The sequence below is a fragment of the Homo sapiens genome, chromosome 6, assembly GCF_000001405.40.
Source record: "Homo sapiens chromosome 6, GRCh38.p14 Primary Assembly".
NCBI lineage: Eukaryota > Metazoa > Chordata > Mammalia > Primates > Hominidae > Homo > Homo sapiens.
The window spans coordinates 10,426,428-10,447,275 of NC_000006.12; the positions used below are offsets into that span (position 1 = coordinate 10,426,428).

The 20,848-nt window shown below is 41.7% G+C and overlaps 3 long non-coding RNA genes and 1 other non-coding gene across 4 annotated transcripts in view, besides 3 other annotated features; 3 read left to right on the forward strand and 1 right to left on the reverse strand.

Moving 5' to 3' along the window:
• On the forward strand, positions 1-1,854 carry LOC107986564 (uncharacterized). The gene is made up of 2 exons (XR_001743960.1): positions 1-333; positions 1,656-1,854. It is a non-coding gene; the product is annotated as an uncharacterized LOC107986564 (long non-coding RNA).
• Positions 1,358-8,395, reverse strand: LINC00518 (long intergenic non-protein coding RNA 518). The gene is made up of 3 exons (NR_027793.1): positions 8,086-8,395; positions 7,821-7,999; positions 1,358-3,886 (listed from the first exon to the last, which is right to left on the reverse strand). It is a non-coding gene; the product is annotated as a long intergenic non-protein coding RNA 518 (long non-coding RNA).
• Positions 7,246-8,445: an enhancer, noted in NCBI's record as "MED14-independent group 3 enhancer chr6:10433906-10435105 (GRCh37/hg19 assembly coordinates)". NCBI's record gives its function as "activates an origin of replication core promoter dependent on BRD2, BRD4, P300/CBP and CDK7 cofactors, and independent of MED14, by STARR-seq in HCT116 cells {active_cell/tissue: HCT116}" and the evidence as "EXISTENCE:reporter gene assay evidence [ECO:0000049][PMID:35650434]".
• The window catches only part of MIR5689HG (MIR5689 host gene), a 22,453-nt gene continuing 9,506 nt past the window's right edge, over positions 7,902-20,848 (forward strand). Inside the window, exon 1 of the long non-coding RNA NR_132993.1 lies at positions 7,902-7,977. This is a non-coding gene — a long non-coding RNA (MIR5689 host gene). The remainder of the gene's footprint in view (positions 7,978-20,848) is intronic.
• MIR5689 (microRNA 5689) lies at positions 13,290-13,367 on the forward strand. Its single transcript, NR_049872.1, has one exon. It is a non-coding gene; the product is annotated as a microRNA 5689 (primary transcript).
• Positions 14,308-14,808: an enhancer, noted in NCBI's record as "H3K4me1 hESC enhancer chr6:10440968-10441468 (GRCh37/hg19 assembly coordinates)". NCBI's record gives its function as "activates a minimal SCP1, AML or CMV promoter by ChIP-STARR-seq in primed H9 embryonic stem cells {active_cell/tissue: H9 hESC(primed)}" and the evidence as "EXISTENCE:reporter gene assay evidence [ECO:0000049][PMID:30033119]".
• Positions 14,809-15,309: an enhancer, noted in NCBI's record as "H3K4me1 hESC enhancer chr6:10441469-10441969 (GRCh37/hg19 assembly coordinates)". NCBI's record gives its function as "activates a minimal SCP1, AML or CMV promoter by ChIP-STARR-seq in primed H9 embryonic stem cells {active_cell/tissue: H9 hESC(primed)}" and the evidence as "EXISTENCE:reporter gene assay evidence [ECO:0000049][PMID:30033119]".

Consider the following 20,848-nt stretch of genomic DNA (forward strand, 5'->3'; position numbering starts at 1 on the left):
TGAGTTTATTCCCATTCAGAATTTAGAGGCTGGTGGAGACAGAGAGTCTCCTAAATGGATGCAAGTCTCCTGAAAGTCTGGGCCGGAAGCCTCGAAACTTTCTGCCACGCAAAGCCCCAGCTAGTCTCCAGGGCTCGGTCCTGGTTCCCTTTGTGCAGGCCCGGAAGTGTCCGCCCGGTTTTCCCACTGCCTGGAGGGGCCCAGGGTCGCGGATAGACTCGGACAAGGCTCCGTTTACTTTCAGTTTGTCTTAGTTGACTAATGGCGGGACTGGTTGTAATGCGTGCTCTGAGATTTTCTCCAGGATTTGTCACTTTAATTTTGCAATATGAGGTAAGGCCATGTTTTTTAAAGTGGAGACACTCTCTTTGCCTTTCCTGCCTTCCTAAAGGAAGCACATCCTCTTGATGTGCCCGACGGGACCTGCAGACTCCAGACTCCACTGCTTTTTCTCAAAACCACACACTTGAAAAGAATACACTTCGATTGCTGTTAAAACTTGTCAGATTTCCATGTTTTAATCGCTGGCAATGTCTTAATAATGGAACCTTACCACTTTTGCACGTGTTGCTGAAAAGAGAGCTCTCCAGTAAAAGTGCCGTGCCCATGAGTCTCTTGAGGCTGTGCAAGGTTACTTATCAAGGATCTCAAAATGACAGGCAGGCTACCTCTGGATTTCCAATCACATGTTCAAAACTCAAAGATTCTCAGTCTGGAGAGGTTTGGTTTTGTTTTGGTTTGGTTTTAAAAGCTCATTCCTCCCCCCCCCCCACCCCCAATAACACAGTACTTAATTGTTTTATTAAATTGTTCCAGGCTCTGGAACCCTGGGGAGGCACTCTTCAAATGGTATTGTTTTTTCTGTATTTATGTCAACACAGGAAGTTGCATTAGAAACTTAAGTTGACAATTTAATAAGGCCTGATCAAGTATATGAGGTTTTTTTAAAAAAATTGACGTAGCACATATCACTTCATTTGTTTTCAAACTCAAAATGTGCTCTTTCTGAATCTTACGATGTAAATCGTAGAGTCTTTATACTAGATAATTTTAGCTGTGATATTGTGAATATAAGAATTGTACAATTTTCCTTTGAAATGTGCTGCTGAGAAGAATAAAAATGAAGTTTTCTCTCTGGAAATGGCTGGAAACAAACGTCAAAACCTGACAATTTACACACACAGTTCTCTTTCTGACTTGACTCACCCCTTTGAGAATTACTTTTTAAAACACCAAAGTTATAGGATACTAAGTTAATTGTGGTCTTTCTAATTCTGAAAAACTGGTTTTCATTTGCCTCAAGAACTTTTAAGGCAAAGTTGTCTAAGATACTTCCTTGAACAAAGACTCAGACAAAAGCATTTGACTGCTTTTAATTTCTCAGCATTTTTACATTTTAAAACTATAGCTTGAATGAAACTCAAGTGTCCTGAATAAAGAATAAATACTTAAAAATTGTTTAAATACATATTTTCTCCTTTCATTGTTGGAGCATTCAAGCAAAGATTGTGTAAAATTCAGGTTAAGTAAAATGTAAAAAATACATATCCAGTTTACATTACATATTCTTTTTGTGTACAAATATTTATACCAATAAAAACCCCCTAAGATATTTATATCTTTAACATCTATTTTTCTTTTACCTTTACTACTAGAAAGAGAAGCTAACAAAGGAAAGCCTCTTCAAAAAATGGGATTTCCTTGGCCTTAGCAGTTCTGGTGTGTTCCACTGCCAACACTAGGTAGGAAAAATCTGACTTGTGATGTTGTGATTAAATAGCGGCCTGGCTCAAACTGCCCAAAGAGAGGGAATTCACTATGAGTTCCACAGTTTTATCTTGAGGAAGAAACTAGCAGAAACACAGAATTTTAGAGCCTTAGAGCTCTCATTACAAAATGGCCCTCACTATAAAGTGGCATATACTGAACCCAGCTTAGATGTGTGTACTGAGCCCAGTACAAATGTATATAGTGAACCCAGAGCTCTCATTACAAAATGCCTCTCACTATAAAGTGGCATATACTGAACCCAGCTTAGGTGTGTGTACTGAGCCCAGTACAAATGTATATACTGAGCCCAGAGCTATTCAGCTTGTTGGTGGTGGGGGTGGTTAGGATTAGATGACAACACCTATTCTCGAATGAGTTAGTCTATGATGCTGTGTCCTAGATTGTGCTCAAGATTAAAAACCTGATTAAAAGACCTTTTTGACTGAAGAGTGTTCTTAAACCTTAGCATCCAATCTGCTTTAAACAGGTTGCAATTAAACATAATGCTATGTGTTCATTGTTAATTGCAGACAGGAAATGTCCAGTGTTGATAGAAATTACCTCTAAAGTCTTGATTCTGGAAGAAGCTAGAGAAATGGCTCTTGGATTTCTAATACTGGCACTTCTTTGGTGACTGTTTCCCATGAATTACCTCAACTTGCACTGAAAGCCACAAGAAAACCAAAAAATGCAAACTACAAGCCTGAATATGCCTACAGATTACCTGTGTCTTTAATGTGTCTTGAGCAGTTTGGATACATGCTTGATATTTTGTGGCAACAAAATACTAGTGCCAGACCTGTATACCTATGTAACAAACCTGCACGTTCTGCACATGTATCCCAGAACATAACATATAATTTTAAAAAATTCAAAAATAAATAAATAAAATTTAAAGACTCAAAAAAAAAAATACTAGTGCCAGGACTCCACTTTTAGTATCACTTTTCATATTTTAGTATTTAGTATTATCATTTTATCTTTCAATGTATTAGTGAAGCTTCTACGGTATTGTTCTGTCTTTTCAAATCAACAGGTGATAGTAGGAAAGCAGGAATAATCTCCCAGGAATCATTATTTTATTGAGAGTTATTAGGGAGTAATAAGAAACTTGACAATAAGAGTGGAAACATTAAATCAAGGTGGGGGGAAAAAAGAAGTATCTACCTAAAGAAAATGTTTTATTCATCAATAATCATAACAATGGAAATGGATTATGAAAACAGCTAAAGGAAATCTTCACCAATAAGTTTGACTATATTTATTCCAGTCTCTGTGACACCAAATCTCATGATTTTCTAAAAAGATGTGACTCAAAATTAGCAAACACTGCAAAGAAGACACACGTGCTATTTATGAGTGCTTTTAAGTCTCTTAGCAGAGACACATTTGGAAGCTAAATGGAATCACAGTGACTAAAACTTTTTCTGAAATCCCCAATCCGATGTTGAAGCACATGGCTCAGAAACAATCTCAATATCATCAAATAACTAAACCACAAAAAAGAAAAAGAAGCTCTCAAATATCCCTTTCCCAAACGTTTCCCAAATGTATACACATATGTAGACAGTAGAGGCTAGAACTGGAATTGTTTTTGCCTAAACATTTGCTGCCCCCACGTGTCCCTTTAGAAAACTGAGTGTTAAAGCTAAATCATGTTCATTAGCACCTTCTATACAGCATTCGCAGGTTAGGTACGCTTAAGTGTGATCACAGAAACAGCCCAGTGTTGGTAGAAAGTACCAGAGACAGGGCGGGGAAGCAGGGAGGGAAGAAGCTGACTTTTGCCACAGACTCCTGGGGTAATCCCCAGTAATTACATAAGGTCCATGTGTCTTTGTCTCTTCAAACTTGAAATGGGTGGCAGGCTGGTGGGACGGGACGAGTAGCCAGATTTTCACTAAGGTTCCATCTAGCTCTAATATTTGGTCACTCTCATTGAGGATGATAAAAGAGAAGTAGGGAAACCCAGTTATCCCATTTCTGGCTAAGTCGTCACTTTGGAGGTGTGGCCAAAAACTCATGAATGAACTTCCTGTTTCATCACTCGAATCCATTACCTCGGTTCTCTGTCATCTTGACAAACTTGCTTCCCAATGTCTGAGTGGCTCTGAGCCTAAGGAGACAAGAAGGAGTTTGTTTTCTTTAATGTCCAACAATTATACATTATACAGTATCCTGCTCATGACTACAAAAATGAAAATCATCTTCCACGTTTATAGTGTGTATCAGTAGCAGGTGCCTCAACACCTCAACAGCTCTGACTAGTTTTTTTTTTTTTTTTTTTTGAGACAGAGTCTCACTCTGTCACCCAGGCTGGAGTGCAGTGGCACAATCTCGGCTCACTGCAACCCCCGCCTCCTGGGTTGAAGCAAGTCTCATGCCTCAGTTGGGACTACAGGCACACACCACCACACTCGGCTAATTTTTGTATTTTTAGTAAAAACAGGGTCATCATGTTGGCCGGGCTGGTCTCGAAATCCTGGCCTCAAGTGATCCACCTGCCTTGGCCTCTCACAATGCTGGGATTACAGGCGTGAGCCACCTCGCCTGGCCACTAGTTCTTAAATCTCCACAATACCATGATCAGCATGGCAAAGCCATTCTCTCCCTATTCCAGTTTTGTTCAACTCTCAGGCAACCACATGTTTAAAGAAAGGCTGGGTCCCTCCCTTGCCCAAGGGGGTGAATTTTGATTCATCTAAGAGAGATATTAGTTTTATCCTGATCACCATCTACGAAGACATGTAACTTAAAAATTCAAAGCCCCAAAGGCAGGAAATGCAAACTTTTAGGTTAACTAGGTGGATTTTCAAACATTTTCTCCATTACCAGATGGTCTAATATTTAACTGAATAGAAAACAGATTTATAGTGTGAAAAATATTTGTGTATTCTTACCTAAATCATGAACCCATTATTTACCTTCTCTCTGTGTACCAAGAAACCAAAGACATTTAATGGGCATGATTACCAACTATAATCAGAAGTATCTAGGGAGAGCCAGAGGGGATGTGATCTTAGAACAGGCTTTAGAGTGACAGACGTGAAGTCATTGTCCTTTGAGCTACAGTTCAGTTTGGTGGAAGAGCAAAGTGCCAGGACTATTGCAGGCCCATTCTTCATTCTCAGGGTTTTGTCATTTCTGCAATGATTCTCAAATGACAGTCTCTATTCCCATGCTGCACCCATATTTTCCCAAAGCTGATTAATTTAACTACAATATATACCCTTCTCAAAAACTGCTAATGTAACAGGTAGGAAACACTCAATATTCGGGAATGCTGATGAGTTTCCTGAGTAGCATGCGACTGGAATGGGAAGAACAGGAATCTGGTATCAGCCTAGCCACAGGCTGGCTGTTATGTCCTTGGGCAAGTTTCATCTTGTCTCTGGGTTGTATTTCCTGACCTGTAATGCAAGAGTATCAGTCCCAACCATCTCTGAGGCCCTTTCCAGCTCTCAGAGACTCTGGAATCAGATTCATACATCTGTCAGCTGAGTTTCCAAACAACACAGCCTGGAAACAACAATTCTAAAAATAAAACATACAACTAAGAAACCAGTCACAAGACTAGAAAACATCATCACATGTATTCTGTCACTGGTAACAAAATAGTTGCATACATATGCGAGCCAGTCCTATTTATTATTATTTTTTTTTTAGAGACAGGGTCTTGCTCTATTGCCCAGGCTGGAGTGCAGTCACCGCTAACTGCAGTCTTGAACTCCTGTGCTCCAACGATCCTCCTGCCTCAGCTTCCCAAGTAGCTGGGACCACAGGTGAACATTGCCACACCTGGCTAATTTTTTATTCTTATTTTTATTAGAGAAGAGTTCTCCCTTTGTTGCCGAGGCTGGTCTCAAACTCCTGGTTTCAAGTAATCCTACTGCCTCAGCCTCCCAAAGTGTTGGGGTTACAAGCACGAGCCACTATGCCCAGCCAAGTCAATCCTATTTTAGATTCATCATTATTCATTAGAAAAAGTATTTTCACTTATTTGTATCTCACCCTAACTTATAAAATCCAAATAACGTTTGACTGACATGAAGATAATATGCCACTTAATCATGTTATTGACTTCACTTAAGTGGGCTACACAAATAACGCCAATAATATTCAGTAATATAAAAATTATGACATTTTTCTAAGGGAACTGAGTCATACAGGCCTTGAATGATTATATATAATAATCTTTTTTTTTTTTTTTTTTTTTGGACACGGAGTTTTGCTCTTGTTGCCCAGGCTGGAGTGCAGTGGCGCAGTCTCGGCTCACTGCAACCTCTACCTCCCAGGTTCAAGTGATTCTCCTGCCTCATCCTCCCGAGTAGCTGGGATTGCAGGCATGCACCACCATGCCCGGCTAATTTTTTGTATTATTAGTACAGACAGGGTTTCACCATGTTGGCCAGGCTGGTCTTGAGCTCCTGACCTCAGGTGATCCACCCGCCTCAGCCTCCCAAAGTGCTGGGATTACAGGCCTGAGCCACCGTGCCCAGCAATAATCTTTATAGTCAAGTTTGCTGTTGTGTGTTTTTTTTTTTTAAAAAACAGAATTAGTTGTTTTGTCTTTTATTTTGTTTTGTTTTAGAGGCAGAATCTCACTATGTTGCCCAGGCTTATTTTGCACCACTGGCCTCAAGCAGTCCTCCCAGCTCTGCCAAATTTTAGACACCTGGACTTGGAAACCCATGAGAAGTTGGCCAGCGCTTCCTTTTGCATTTATGCAGAGCAATGGTAAACGTCAGCAGCAAATTTACAATCAATCTTATTTTCCAGTGTCTCCAGAGATTTGATTGTTTTGCTTATATGGCTTATGGCAATACTTACCTCCAATGTCTGATTTTTCAAAAAAATTTCATCTAATCCTTTGTGCAATGGTTTACATCTAATTTTTTTTGTTCTGAGATGTAGACAGCTATTAAGAACTGATCTTTGCACAGTAAATTTTTCCTATTCTTAGTCATTATCCTTAGGTGAGGCAACATGGTGCCATTCAGTTATTCAGCAAATTCTCACATCTTCCGTGTGCCATGCATTGTTACAGGTTTTGAGCCTAGAACCATGAAAACAAAAGACAAAAATCTCTGCCCTTGTGGACTTTGTATTCCAGAGGAGAGAAAATAAACAAGGTAAGTAAAATATATAGTATGGTAGATAATGAATGGTATGGGCTGAAGGAAAAACATAAACAAAGACGTTAGGTAGTGCTGAGAGGGAGGGTGGTTTGCAGTTGAGATAAGGATGTCTCCAAGGATATGGTGGCATCTGCATTACCAGAGAAACATTCCAGGCAGAGAAACCAGTGAGTGCAAAGGCCCTGAGGCAGAAGCATGGCTGGCTTGTGTGGTAGGCATGAGTGAGCTAAGGACAGAGGAGCTACAGAGGACGCCAAAGAGAAATTGAGAATTGAAGGGAGTTGGGGGATGGAGCTGTTGGTACCGAAGGGAGACATTATAAAGACCTTAGCTTGGCTGGGCACTGTGGCTCATGCCTGTAATCCCAGCACATTGGGAAGCCGAGGCAGGTGGATCACCTGAGGTCAAGAGTTCGAGACCAGCCTGGCCAACATGGGGAAACCCCATCTCTACTAAAAATACAAAAATTAGCCGGGCGTGGTGGCGTGCACCTGTAATCCCAGCTACTTGGGAGGCTGAGGCAAGAGAATCGCTTGAACCCGGGAAGTGGAGGTTGCAGTGAGCCAAGATCACACCACTGCACTGCAGTCTGGGCAACAAGAGTGAAACTCCATCTCAAAAAAAAAAAAGACCTTAGCTTTTCCTCTGAGAGCAGAAACTTTGGAGGGGCTTGAGTCAAGCAATGGCGTGATCTGCTTCGTATCTTAACAGAGTCACCTTGGCTGCTCGGTCAGGGCAGGGGGACAAGTGTGGAGGCAGCAAAGTCAATTTGGACGCTGTGGCCAACAACCATAAGCACGGCTGAGGTCACCTAGGGAGTGCTTGTGGATGAACAGGGAAGAGGCCCAAGACTGGACGTGGAGGTCTCCAATGTTTAGAGTCAGGGAAATGAAGGACACCAACAAAACTCACCTAAGAGAGGAGCAGTCGAAGAAGGAGGGGAACTGCTGAGCATGGGCTCTGGAAGCCACAGCTCCAGGAAGAGGAAGTGAACAGCTCTGTCAAACGCTGCTGCTGGGTGGAGCTCCCTGAAGACAGAGAGTGAACCCTTGGTTTTCGCCATGTAGAGGTGAGTGGATGTGGTGGAAAACCTGCAGGGAGGTTAGAATCAGGGAGCTCTACCATTTTAGCCAAATTCACTACATAAAACCTAGGCACTGCTAAGCAATTTACTCACCCCTTTGATCCTCAGCGGTCTCATTAGTAACACAGATGGAATGATTCCTACCTCAGGCTGGTGAGCTCTTAAAGAGACAATGTTAGGAGTATTCATTTGCTAGGATGGCCTTCACAAAATACAACCGACCTGAATTGCAAACATTTATTTTCTCACAGTTCCGGAGGCTGGAAGTCCAAGATGGAGCTGCTGTGAGGGTTGGTTTCCGGTGAGGCCTTTCTTCCTAGCTCGTAGACAGCCACCTTCTCTCTGTGTCCTCACATGGCTTTTCTTTTGTGTCCATGCCGAGAGAGAGGACTCTCTGAGGACTCTCCCTCTTCTTGTAAGGACACCAGTCCTATCAGACTAGGGCCCCACTCTTATGACCTCATTTAATTTAATTATGTCTGTAAAGGCCCCTGCTCCAAATATAGTCACATTGAGGATTATGGCTTCATAATCCTGTGACTCTGGGGAGAGGACACATTTCAGTCCATAACAAAGCCCTTAGTGTGTTTTAGTGCTCAAAACTGTTCATTCATACCTCGGTTATTCCATTATTATTGCCTACGATATTACCACTTCAGGGTTTTTGTTATTTTTTACAATATAGAGCACAACGTATAATAAACTACACATACGAATTCTCATTGAGGAATTACAGAAAATATATCTATCGCGTCTAACAAGGTTTAATTAGCATCTTGGAAAAAAAAAAAAACACCTACGTTTTTAAGGAAAAAGTTGGCCAATACTGCCATCTGTTGGAATTTTGGTCAAAGCTCATGTGTTGGACTTTACTCATTCTTTGTCAATATCTTTTCTTTCTTTCTTTCTTTCTTTTTTTCTGAGACGGAGCCTTGCTCTGTTACCCAGGCTGGAGTGTGGTGGCGCGATCTCGGCTCACTGCAACCTCCGCCTCCTAGGTTCAAGCGATTCTCCTGCCTTGGCCTCCTGAGTAGCTGGAATTACAGGCACGCGCCACCACGCCCGGCTAATTTTTGTATTTTTAGTAGAGACGGAGTTTCACCATGTTGGTCAGGCTGGTTTCGAACTCCTGACCTCGTGATCCACCCACCTCGGCCTCCCAAAGTGCTGGAATTACAGGCGTGAGCCACCGCGCCCGGCCCTTTGTCAACATCTTATATGTTGCTGTGATTATTTTCTTCCCTAATAAGTGTAAAATTGGATGATTTTGTTTTCAATTTAAACCTACAATAAGTATTCTAAGAAATACACAAAGATTCTACTATGACAGAATGAGTCTTTTCCTACTTGCGACATTCATTCTAAATTTCACAAATGCAAGTTGTGGAAAGAGAGACATTGATGGAAAAATTTCTACTTTTGGAGACAAATTCTCATTCGCATTAGTTTTATTTTTATTTCTCAATTATAAGTTATTTGGCGTTCTGGCTCACCTAATCCGTGAACCAAGAGGGTTGCTTTCGGAAGCCTACTAGTGGAAAATGAAAGTTTCAGATCTGAAGCTAGCAAATGCTCACTTGCTGATGATGAGGAACAAGTTCTATTATAATAGAGTTGGTTACAAGGCTATGCAGCAAGAAAAAGGTGCTCAGCTTTATGAGAGAAGTGCAACAGATATTGGAATGTGGTGGCCTTGATGATGCTGTTCTTAGGAGACTCCATAGGCATTCTTTTTTTTTTTTTGAGACGGAATCTCGCTCCGTCGCCCACTCGCCACCGCGCCCGGCTAATTTTTTTGTATTTTTAGTAGAGACAGGGTTTCACTGTGTTAGCCAGGATGGTTTCCATCTCCTGACCTCGTGATCCGCCCGCCTCGGCCTCCCAAAGTGCTGGGATTACAGGCATGAGCCACCGCGCCCGGCCGCAGTAGGCATTCTTATACTTTGATGGGAGTAGTGTAATATGGTATAGCTTCTTTGTGAAATCGATCCAAATAAATATGAGCACACCTTTGAACCTAGCGACTCCACTTGTTGGAATTTATCCTACAGATGGAGTTGCAAGTGTGCGAAATGATGGGTTTATATATCGTGACTTTTTTAATAATAGCAAAGACTGGAAACAGTCTAAATGCTATCAATAAGACACATTTAAATAAATGATGGGTCAGTCGTATAAAGGAATAACATTCAGTCATTACAAGGAATGAGGCAGTTCTCTATGTACTCTACAGATTCATTTCCAAGACATATTGTTAAGGAAGAAAGCAAGGTGTAGTGCACTAGGTATGGTATACACATGTGTTAAGAATTGTGTTTTACTGTAGTATACCATACCTTATATGTTTAATAGAACATATCTCATCTATATTTTGTAATTCATTTTTATAAAACTGCCTGTAAATAGAAAAATTTTATTATCTCTTTCATGTCTACAGCTTCTACATTTATGTCCCCTCTTACTTTTTTTTTTTTTGGAGAGACAGTGTCTCACTATGTTGCCTAGACCAGTTTCAAACTCCTGGGCTCAAGTGATCCTTCTGCCTCAGCCTCCCAAAGCGTTGGAACTACAGGTGTGAGCCAGCCCGCCTGGCCCCTCTTACATTCTTTGTTGTTGTTGTTTTGTTGTTGTTGTCTTTGTTGTTTTTTGAAGCAGAGTCTCCCTCTGTGGCCCAGGCTGGAGTGCAGTGGCTTGATCGTGGCTCACTGCAACCTCCGCCTCCCAGGTTCAAGCCATTCTCCTGCCTCAGCTTCCCGAGTAGCTAGGACTGTAGGCATATGCCACCACGCCCAGCTAATTTTTTTTATAATTTTAGTAGAGATGGGTTTTCACCATGTTGGCCAGGCTGGCCTCAAGCTCCTGACCTCCAGTGATCTTCCTGCCTTGGCCTCCCAAAATGCTGGGATTACAGGCATGAGCCACTGGGCCGAGCCCCCTTACATTCTTAATATAGTTTATTTGTGTCCTTTCTTTTTTCACTTTTTCACTCTTGCTTACAGGTTTTTCAATTGTGTTAGGCTTTTTAAAGAACTGCTTGTCTTTGTAATGCTCTATATTATAAATTTTAGTTGTATTTATTTACTTCTGCTCTTACATTAATTTTTCATTTTTGATCTTTGAATTTATTTTGCTGTTGTTTTCTAATTCTAATTTGGATGACTAGCTAATTAAAAAAAATGTTTTCCCACTTCTTAAATGTCAGCATTTATAGGCTTTTGCGCTATACATTTCACTCAAAGTAGATTTTGTGAAATGCCACAATATTTGGCATGTGGCATTTTCACAATTGTCAATTCAAAATGTTTTCTAGTTTTCAGTGTGACTTATTTTTTGATCCATGGCTTTACTTATAAGTGTATATTTAAAAATTTCCAAATATATCATTTGTTTTGACTATTACATTTTTCATTAAGGTATAACTGACAAATAAAAATTACGTATGTTTAAAAAAGGAATTGTATTTTGCTGCAAGTAACAGTGAGCTTGTTATGGTGTTTAAGCTGTTTCAACTGCTAAAAAACAACAACAACAAAACAGATATGGACAGGGCCATGGCTTATAAGGGAACTCCATCATTCTCAGGACCTAATTTCCTCCATCTTGTTGCTCTGCCATCCCAAGTGGGCTGTTTTACAGTCCAAGAAAGCTGCTTAAGCTCCAGTCATCACGTCCACATCCCAGCCAGCAGAAAGGCAAAAGATCTGACAAATGTTACATTCTAGTATCTTCCACTCCAGTATCGAAAACTTAGTTACATAGCCTGCATTATTAGCTAACAGAAAGGCTGAGAAATGCAGTTTTTTGCTGGACAGCAATGAGTGGCTTCAAATACATTTGGACGGCTGTTATAAAAAGAGTGAGGAGATCAGACGCCAGTGGCTCACTCCTGTAATCCCATCACTTTGAGAGGCCAAGGTGAAAGGATCCCTTAGGCCCAGGAGTTTGAGACCAGTCTGGGCAACATGGTGAAACTCTGTCTCTACAAAAATTTAAAAATTAGCCAGATGGTGCGTGCCTGTAGTCCCAGCTACTCAGGAGGCTGAGGCAAGAGGTCAAGGCTGTGCTGAGCCTTTGTTCATGCCACTGCACTCCAGCCTGGGTGGCAGAGCAAAACCCCATATCAACAAAGAAAGAAAGTGGGAGAATGGATGTTGAGACAGGCGACTTGCTGTCTCTTTCATAGTATGCTAACATTTATGTGATGAGGAGAATATATAATCTGTATATGTTAAGAAAAGTTTGGGATGTCTAGAAATACACAAGTACCTAGTAACAGTATGTATAGGTGTCTTTGGGAAGATCTGATGACTAGGGGAAAGGAAGAGAGACAAGCTTTGCAACTTACCATTTTGCCTTTTGAATTTTATATTATGGCCATGTATTTTTTAAAGAAAAAAATTACATGCAAAAACTAGCATTTGATGTTAAGATTTTCCAACTGGATCTGCTTTGTGGCTAAAAGTTTCCCTCCCCTGTAGCTTGAATATATACAACTAAAAGATATGTATAGATATGTATATGCAACTATATATATACAACTAAAATGTGTACAATGCAATGTTTTGATATATGTCTATCTTGTGAGGTGAGATACCATAATCAAGCTAATTCAAATTCACACATCCATCACCTCACACAGTTACCATTTCTATGTGTGTGTGGTGAGAACATTTAAGCTTTTTTTTTTTTTTTTTTTGAGATGGAGTCTTGTTCTGTCTCTCAGGCTGGAGTGCAATGGCGTGATCTTGGCTCACTGCAACCTCCACCTCCCAGGTTCAAGCGATTCTTCTGCCTCAGCCTCCCGAGTAGCTGGGATTAAAGGCGTGCACCACCATGCATGGCTAATTTTTGTATTTTTAGTAGAGTCAGGATTTCGACGTGTTGGCCAGGCTGGTCTCGAACTCCTGACCTCAGGTAATCCACCCTCCTCGGCCTCCCAAAGTACTAGGATTACAGGCATGAGCCACATTACCTGGCCACATTTAAGCTTTTTAACTAAAAGTTTATTGGGAGAATAAAGTGGAGGGCAGTTAAAATCCCTCTAGTGGAAGAAAAGACCTGGACAATATGAGCTGTGTTCATTATGACCACTGGGAAGATGAGTTTCACCCTTCACATGACTATATGGTGAGAACATGTTTCTCAGCTGAGACAAGATTTCAGGAAAGTTTGCAAGAACCGAGAGAAAATGGAAGAAAATGAAATATTTGTTCTTCAGAGTCACCAGTTTTATTATATGCCTGGACTCTGTCACTTATGTCAATAAATTTACAAATGCAAAATACACATTTAATTCCAGCGTGGTAGCATACACCTGTAGTCCTAGATACTCAGGAGGGTGAGTATCTAGGACTACAGGTGTGTGCTACCACGCTTGAACTCAGGAGTTCAAGGCCAGCCTGGACAACACAGGGAGACCCCCTCTCTAAATGTATATACACACATACACACACACACACACACACACACACATTCAAACATTGGAATCAGATGTCCTGGACAAAATGCTCAAATCAGCTGAACACTTTGGAATGCTTAACTTTTCTTTTTTTTAGATGTTTATTTATTTATTTATTTTGTTTTTTATTTTATTATTATTATACTTTAAGTTTTAGGGTACATGTGCGCAATGTGCAGGTTTGTTACATATGTATACATGTGCCATGTTGGTGTGCTGCACCCATTAACTCGTCATTTAGCATTAGGTATATCTCCAAATGCTATCCCTCCCCCCTCCCCCCACCCCACAACAGTCCCCGGAGTGTGATGTTCCCCTTCCTGTGTCCATGTGTTCTCATTGTTCAATTCCCACCTATGAGTGAGAACATGCGGTGTTTGGTTTTTTGTCCTTGTGATAGTTTGCTGAGGATGATGGTTTCCAGTTTCATCCATGTCCCTACAAAGGACATGAACTCATCATTTTTTATGGCTGCATAGTATTCCATGGTGTATATGTGCCACATTTTCTTAATCCAGTCTATCATTGTTGGACATTTGGGTTGGTTCCAAGTCTTTGCTATTGTGAATAGTGCCGCAATAAACCTACGTGTGCATGTGTCTTTATAGCAGCATGATTTATAATCCTTTGGGTATATACCCAGTAATGGGATGGCTGGGTCAAATGGTATTTGTAGTTCTAGATCCCTGAGGAATCGCCACACTGACTTCCACAATGGTTGAACTAGTTTACGGTCCCACCAACAGTGTAAAAGTGTTCCTATTTCTCCACATCCTCTCCAGCACCTGTTGTTTCCTGACTTTTTAATGATCACCATTCTAACTGGTGTGAGATGGTATCTCATTGTGGTTTTGATTTGCATTTCTCTGATGGCCAGTGATGATGAGCATTTTTTCATGTGTTTTTTGGCTGCATAAATGTCTTCTTTTGAGAAGTGTCTGTTCATATCCTTCGCCCACTTTTTGATGGGGTTGTTTATTTTTTTCTTGTAAATTTGTTTGAGTTCATTGTAGATTCTGGATATTAGCCCTTTGTCAGATGAGTAGGTTGCAAAAATTTTCTCCCATTTCGTAGGTTGCTTGTTCACTCTGATGGTAGTTTCTTTTGCTGGAATGCTTAACTTTTCTTTCCTGCAAGAGGAAGACTGGGAGATTGAGAGGTGTGCCCAGGGTGTCAGCTCAGTGCCTGGTAGAGGCAGGTAACATGAGCTTTGAGCCCTGGCCTGTGGATTGTGTTGTGCTTGGACTGGCCTGTTACGCCATCTGCTTGCTTCTGCCTGAAATTCCTGTAACACAAGATAAAACCTCTCATTCTGCAATTTACCAATAAACCTTATAAAATCTGAGGCTAAGCCTTGTGAAATGGCAAACCCTAGAAAGCCAGAGAGCTGGCATGCGGTAGTTCAGCAGTGGCTGCAGGAAATAGAAGGAAAGGGAGTGAGGAGACAGGGTGCAAGCTGGAATGTGATCACAGGGGAGGGGGATCTCTGGACTATGGGGGAATGACGGGCAGCTTGAGGCCCTGAGATGAAAGACACTCCCTTTAAGAAAAACGTCTGTGACTCAGAGCCACAAGGCGTGTCAGGAGAAAGTTCTGATGAAACTGCATTCCATTCCTGGAGGAATACGCATTGCCATTGAAGTACAAACTCTAAAATGATGTAGGATTAATAATTAAGGCAACACTAGTAGTGGATGGTGGCCCAGAGAGCTTTCCCTAGCTTTGTTAATTTTCTTCTCTCCACAGCTTACGTAAGCAAATATTCACCCAAAGAGTAGAGAATGTTGAGACATTTAGCATTATGTATTAGTCTGTTCTCACAGTGCTATAAAAAAAAAATACCTGAGACTGGGTAATATATGAAGAGAAGTTTAATTGACTCAGTTCCGTAGACTGTACAGGAAGCACAGCTGAGGAGGCCTCAGGACACTTGCAGTCACGGCATGGGGCAAAGGGGAAGCAAGCACATCTTCACATGGCAACAGGAGAGAGAGCAAAGGGGGAAGCGCTACACACTTTTAAGCCACCAGATCTCATGAGAACTCACTCACTATCATGAGGACAGCAAGGGGGAAATTCTCCCCCATGAGCCAATCACCTCCCACCAGGTCCCTCCCCCAACATTAGGAATTACAATTTGCATGAGATTTGTGTGGCCACACGGAGCCAAACCATATCACATTGGTCAACCTATATAGTAATGTTTTTCTTAATCTAAATGTATACTAAGTTAGTGTTTTATCGATTTAAAAATACATCTTGAAAAGGATTTTGCAATTTACTTTTTTTTTTTTTTTGTGAGACAGAGTCTCACTCTTGTCCCCCAGGCTGGAGTGTAGTAGCGTGATCTTGGCTCGCTGCAATCTCTGCCTCCCAGGTTCAAGCAATTCTCCTGCCTCAGCCTCCTGAGTAGCTTGGATTACAGGCGCCTGCCACTACTCCCGGCTAATTTTTTGGTATTTTTAGTAGAGACAGGGTTTCACCATGTTGGCCAGGCTGGTTTCAAACTCCTGACCTCAAGTGATCCGCCCACCTCGGCTTCCCAAAGTGCTAGGATTACAGACGTGAGCCACCATGCCCAGCCCACAATTTCTTTTAAAACTAAACATATACAGTTGTCCATCAGTATCTGCAGGGGACTGGTTCCAGGTCTCCCTGCAAGTACCAAAATCACAGATGCTCAGGAATCTGATATAAAGCAGGGTAGTACTTGCATATAACCCACACACATCCTCCTGTATACTTTAAATCATCTCTAGATTACTTATAATACCTAGTACAAGGTGAAGACTATGTAAACAGTTGTTATACTGTATTTAAAAAAATAATTTCCACTTTCATTTTAGATTCAGGTGGTACATATGCAGGTTTGTTATATAAGTGTATTGCATGATGCTGAGGTTTGGAGTTCAATTGATCCCATCACTCAGATAGTGAGCATAATTATACTGTATACAGTTTAGGAAATAATAACAAGAAAAAAGTCTATACATATTCCATACAGACATGATCATCCTTTCCTCCCACCCCTTGATTTTTTATTGAATTCATGAATATTTGCTGAGTCCATGAATGTGGAACCCACGGATAGGGAAGGCTGACTGCACCTACATTATGACCTGGCAATTCCACACCTAGGTTACTCACCCGGGAGAAATAAAAGCATATGTCCTCAAAGAGGCTTGTTCAAAAATGTCCATAGCTTTATTCATAAATAACTGAAAGCTGAAAACAACCAATAGGAGAATGAATAAACTAACTGTGGTAAATTCAGACAATGAAATACTACACAATAAAAAAGGGAGGAACCGGCTGGGCGCGGTGGCTCACACCTGTAATCCCAGCACATTGGGAGGCCGAGGTGGGTGGATCACCTGGGGTCAAGAGTTCGAGACCAGCCTGGCCAACATGGTGAAACCCCATCTCTACTAAAAATACAAAAATAGTCAGGTGTGGTGGCACGCACCTCCAATCCCAGCTACTCGAAAGGCTGAGGCAGGAGAATCAGCTTGAATCCAGGAGGCAGAGGTTGCAGTGAGCTGAGATTGTGCCACTGCACTCCAGCCTGGGTGACTCTGTCTCAAAAAAAAAGGGGGGGTGGGGGGAGGAACCATTGATACATACAACATCATGATGAATTCCAAAAATGTTGTACTGAATGGAAGAAGCCTTACACAAGAAAGCACATACTGTTTATATATTTATCATCCTAGAACAAGCAAAACTAATCTATGGACTAATCTAAGGTGGGGGCAGGGGAATCCAGAGAAAGGGTTACCTTTGGGAGTTGGGCCATGGGGTTGGGGACCAGCTGTGCAGGGGAGCTTTCAGGGCAGTCTTAAGGTACTGGATCTCACCAGGGGTTTGCCTTGCTTGTATACATGGCCTTCCTTGCAACTTGCTGAATGGCACACTTATAAACTGTGCATTTTTTGTATTTAAATTTTACCTCAAAAGAAGAAGAAATCAACCAACATTGAACTCTAATAAAAGATATGCATGTTGGAACATATGGGGAGAAGTGTATTGCTGACTGCAACATACTTAGAAATGCATTAAAAAGACAAGATGCTTTGGGAGGCCAAGGCGGGTGGATCACCTGAGGTCAGAAGTTCAATACCAGGCTGGCCAACATGATGAGACCCCGTCTCTACTAAAAATACAAAAATTAGCCGGGCATGGTGGTGCACACCTGTAATCCCAGCTACTCAAAAGGCTGAGGCAGGAGAGTCACTTGAGCCCGGGAGGCAGAGGTTGCAGTGAGCCGAGATCATGCCACTGCACTCCAGCCTGGGCAACAGAGTGAGACTCCATCTCAGAAAAAAAAAAAAAAAAGACAAGATAGATTGGTGGGTGGATAAACAGCTGGATAAATGGATAAATAGTAAATGAAGTACAGAAGAATGTTTATTGTTGAATCTAGCTGGTGAGCATATGAGTGTTCACCGTACAGTTTCTTCAATTCTGAGCTATGCTTAAAAGGTTTTATAATAAAATGTTGAAAAAAATTGATCTCGAATTAGAATTAGGAGTTCTAACAAAGAGCTTCTGCTATAACTTACATATTTCTGTAGGAGGTATTCCCATGAAGTTGGGGCAGTGGGAAGGCAGAGAAGTTGCAAGGAGAAAAATCTGTCAGTAATGGAAGGCTCTTATATTGCATTCGTTTCCCAAACACTGGCATATCATAGAGCTTCAATAAAAGCTTTTTGAATGAATGAAATGAATAAGACATTCCTCAACCAATGACTGCAGAAACTATAAAGGAATGATTCTGACATGAATATTACAGAAAACTCCGTGAGGGTATATACTTAGGCCAAAGAATAAACAAGTGTCTGAAATTATCAGACTTTAATACTCATTCCAGTGAATGTTTCTAAAGGACCAAAGGGATGAAAAAGAGAAATTTAAAGTCATATCTAAGACTAGCTTTTTGACTTGACACGTGACTCAGCCACTTTTGTATTACCACTGCCATCTTTGAATTAACACTGGAGAAGTATCTAGAACAATTGTGTTTTTCTCAGAGGTTGGAGGAAACGAGCATGACTCTTCCCCAAAATGCATTACTTCTCAAAAACTTACAGGGCTATTCTCTTTTATAGGTTTTTGTTTCTGTTTTTGTTTTTGAGACGGAGTCTCGCCCTGTCGCCCAGGCTGGAGTGCAGTGGCGCCATCTCGGTTCACTGCCACCTCCGCCTCTCGGGTTCAAGTGATTCTTCTGCCTCAGCGTCCCGAGTAACTGGGACTACGGGCCCAGCTAATCTTTTTTGTAGTTTCTGAAAATTTCTTTCACCTGTAGTACATGCAGACCCTGTCTCCATTTATTTTCCTTGGCCTGTTCTTTTTTTTGACAATCTCACTCCATTGCCCAGGCTGGAGTGCAGTAGCATGAACTTGGCTCACTGCAACCTCCACTTCCCAGGTTCAAGAGATTCTCGTGACTCAGCCACCTGAGTAGCTGGGACTACAAGTGTGCGCCACCATGCCTGGCTAACTTTTGTATTTTTAGTAGAGATGGGGTTTCACCATATTGACCAGGCTGGTCTCGAACTCCTGACCTCGTGATCCACCCACCTCGGCCTCCCAAAGTGCTGGGATTACAGGCATGAGCCACCACACCCGGCCTCTTTTATAGGTTTCTATGTAAGTAACATAAAGACTCTGGCAAGCAGTTAAAGCTCTTTAATTGTTCACCATTCTGGGCACTTAGGGTTGTGTTCTTTCTTGGTTTTGGAATAGCTTATGCTTACCTCTTTAATAACAGAGTAGAATTCTACTGTATAAGAGATCCTGGGCCGGGCGCAGTGGCTCACACCTGTAATCCCAGCACTTTGGGAGGCCAAGATGGGTGGATCATGAGGTCAGGAGTTCAAGACCAGCCTGCTCAATATGGTGAAACCCCATCTCTACTAAAAATACAAAAAGTTAGCCAGGCATGGTGGTGCATGCCTGTAATCCCAGCTACTTGGGAGGCTGAGGCAGGAGAATCGCTTGAACCTGGGAGGCAGAGGTTTCAGTGAGCCAAGATCGTGCCATTGCTCTCTAGCCGGGAGACAAGAGTGAAACTCTGTCTCAAAAGAAAAACAGAGATCCTGGGGGACAAGGGTGACACCCTTTACCAGGACAAGAGGCGTATTCAGGGACAGTGGGCTGGGGTAACTCAGAAAATCAAGATGAAATTTTTTTCCCCAGAAAAATCTCAAATTTTTCTTTGTTTTAACTGATTTCCGGTTTGACACTCCACAAGCAAAGTTAATTTTTAGGAACTTCTTAAGTTTAAGGACTATGTATTAGCACTGACCATGTGTCCCGCATTTTTGATGTATCGAGAAACAAGAGGGGCTCAGCTGTTTCTTGTCTGTCTTCACAGTCAAGGCCACATACTTTTTCCTGCCTTTTTAAAAAAGTAAGCTCAATCAGAAAAGCTGAAAAATAGCACACAAACAGCCAAATACCCCTCACATGGATTTAACAACTGTTATTATTTCATCATGTTTGCTTATCTCTTGATAGATAGGTAGGTAGATAAATAGACAGCAGATACCATATTTTTTTCCTAAGCCATTTGAAAGTAAGTTGCAGATGATACGATGTATCATGCTGACACACTTCAGAATGCATCCCCTCAAAATATATATCAAGGCTAGATTTTGAAGAGAGAAGTGGTGATGCTTTTTTTTTCTTTTTTTTTTTTTTAAGCTTGACTGGGTCATTGAGAGAGACTATGTTCTGGGCATTGTATTGAAAGAAGGTAGGTTGAAGTTCAGGTAGTTTTGGAGCCTGCAAGTTTTTTGTATTTTTGTGTTTTTCAGACAGGGTCTTGCTCTGTCCCCCAGGCTGGTGTGCATTGGTGTGATCACCACTCACAGCAGCCTTGACCTCTGGGGCCCAAGCCATCCTCCCACCTCCGCCTCTGGAGTAGCTGGAACTACAGGCATGCACCACCATGCCCAGCTAATATCAGCCTGCAGTTTTGACTTGGACTTGGATTTTATAACTGGCTCAACAAAATTATATCCACTGTTAGTCTGTTTGGGCTACTATGGCAAAAATACCTGAAACTGGGTGTCTTTTAAACAGAAATTTATTTCTCACAGTTCTGAAGGCTGGGAAGTCCAAGATCAATACCTCAGCTGACTCAGTGTCTGATGAGGGCCTGTTTCCCAGTTCACAGACAGCCATCTTCTCCCTGTGTCCTCACATGGTGGAAGGGGCAAGGGAGCTCTCTGCAGTCTCTCTGTAAGGGCACTAATCCCACTCACAAGTGCTCCACCCTCATGTCCTAGTCACCTCCCAAAGGCCCCATCTGCTAATACCATCACCTTGGGGATTAGAATACCAGTGTATGAATTTGGAGGGGAGATAAGCATTCAGTCCATTGCACCCTTATTT